Source organism: Homo sapiens, chromosome 12 (assembly GCF_000001405.40).
Source record: "Homo sapiens chromosome 12, GRCh38.p14 Primary Assembly".
NCBI lineage: Eukaryota > Metazoa > Chordata > Mammalia > Primates > Hominidae > Homo > Homo sapiens.
In genome coordinates this window covers 34048067-34050241 of record NC_000012.12, presented here as the reverse complement: position 1 = coordinate 34050241, position 2175 = coordinate 34048067, and the positions used below count along the sequence as shown (strand labels likewise).

General features: G+C 46.8%; 1 annotated feature.

Annotated features, from left to right (window-relative positions):
• Positions 539-1738: an enhancer, noted in NCBI's record as "MED14-independent group 3 enhancer chr12:34201439-34202638 (GRCh37/hg19 assembly coordinates)". NCBI's record gives its function as "activates an origin of replication core promoter dependent on BRD2, BRD4, P300/CBP and CDK7 cofactors, and independent of MED14, by STARR-seq in HCT116 cells {active_cell/tissue: HCT116}" and the evidence as "EXISTENCE:reporter gene assay evidence [ECO:0000049][PMID:35650434]".

Below are 2175 nucleotides of genomic sequence, written 5' to 3'. Positions count from 1 at the left end.
TGATAATTGTTTTGTTTGAGGAGGCTGAAGATAGGGCCCCCAATTCCTTCTAGCTTGTAGTGTTTCTGCTGAAAAATCTGCTATTAATCTGATAGGTTTTCCTTTATAAGTTACCTGGTGCTTCTGTCTCACAGCTCTTAAGATTCTTTTCCTCGTCTTAACTTTGGATAACCTGATGAAAATGTGCCTAGGTGAAGAACTTTTTGCAACGAATTTCCCAGGAATACTGATTATTTTTAGGTTTGGTCATTTAGCATAGAGGCTTTGTTCATATTTTCTTATTCTTTTTTCTTTGTCTTTGTTGGATGGGTTAATTTGAAGACCTTGTGTTTGAGCTCTGAATTTCTTTCTTCTACTTCTTCATTTCTATTGCTGAGACTTTTCAGAGAGCACTTTGCATTTCTATAAGTGTGTCTGTTTCCTGAAGCTTTGATTGTTTTTTTTCTTTATGCTATCTATTTCCTTGAATATGTCTCCCTTCAATTCTTGTATTGGTATTGGATTTTCTTGCATTGGGCTTCACCTTTCTCTGGTGTCTCCTTGTTTAGCTTCATAACTAACCTCCTGAATTCTTTTTCAGGTATGTCAGGGATTTCTTCTTTGTTTGATTCATTGCTGGTGAGCTAGTGTGGTTTTTTGGGGATGTTAAAGAAACTTGTTTTGTCAGATTACCAGAGCTGGTTTTCTGGTTCCTTCTCATTTGGGTATGCTTTGTCAGAGGGAAGTTCTAGAGCTGAAGCTGTTCAGATTCTTTTGTCCTACGGGGTTTTTCCTTGATGTAGTACTCTCCCCCTTTTCCAATAGATGTGGCTTCCTGAGAGCCAAGCTACAGTGATTGTTATCTCTCTTCTGGATCTAGCCACCCAGCAAGTCTACCAGGCTCCATGCTAGTACTAGGGGTTGTCTGCACAGAGTCCTGTGACATGAACCATCTGTGGGTCTCTCAGCCATTAATACCAGCACTTGTTCCAGTGCAGGTGGCAGGGGTGGTGAAATGGACTCTGTGAGGAGTTCTTAGCTTTGGTGGATTAATGATTTATTTTTGTGTTGGTTGGCCTCCTGCCAGAGGTGGCACTTTCCAGAAAGCATTAGCTGTGATAGTATGGAGAGGAACAAGTGGTGGGCAGGGCCCTAGAACTCCCAAGAGTATATGATTTTTGTCTTCAGCTACCAGGGACGGAAGAGAAGGCCCATCAGGTGGGGGCATGACTAGGCTTATCTGAGCTCAGGCTCTCCATGGGTGGGTCTTGCTGTGGCTGCTGTAGGGGATGGGGGTGAGGTTCCCAGATCAATGCAGTTGTGTACCTAGGAGGATTATGGCTGCTTCTGCTGAGTCATTCAGGTTGTCACGGAAGTGGGGGAGGCTGGCAGTCACAGGCCTCACACAGCTCCCATGCAATCCAAAGGGCTGGTCTCACTCCCACTGTGCCTCCACCTAACAGCACTGAGTCTGTTTCCAGGCAGTGAGCAAGCAGGGCTTGAGAACTTGCCCCAGGCTACCCACCTCCCAGCTGTGAAAGTAAGGGCTTTGGTTCTTCCCCCTGCCTGTGAAGTCTGTATGCCAGATTCATGCCCTCCCCTATTGCGGTGATCAGACCCAACACCAGGCCATGGGGGCTACGAGGTCCAACAGAGTCAACGGAATGAGACAAGACAAGTTACGAGTACATAGGGTGGGTCCAGGGGGCCAATGCTAGTATGGAGGCTGCAAAGCCCCTGAGCTCTGGGAGCCCACACTATTTATTGGTAATCAAACAAAGAAGCAGGTGGTGAGGGTGTGCAGACATAGGGGTAGACAGGTGAGGACGTGAGGATGTGGGGGTAGAAAGGTAGTGGTACATCAAGTGTAGCTGTGATGGTTTAGCATATGCTCTGCTACTTGAGATAATGGAGAGCAGGTTCTTTTAACTCAAGATACAATCGATCCTGGGAGAGCAAGGAGCAAGGAGCCAGCGAGTCTGGACACATTCCCAAGGCCACAAGGGGTTAATGCCCTGAGCCCTGGATTATCTCCAAGCCACGAGGGGTTTTATGCCCTGGGCTTAGATTATGGTGTGGCAGGGCAGCCTTCCACCCTTTGGCACAGAGCTTGGTGTTCCATAGGCCATGAGAGGTTTTAGACCCTGGACCCAGGACATGTTCCAAGACTCTTTTACATTACGTCAGACAAGCAAG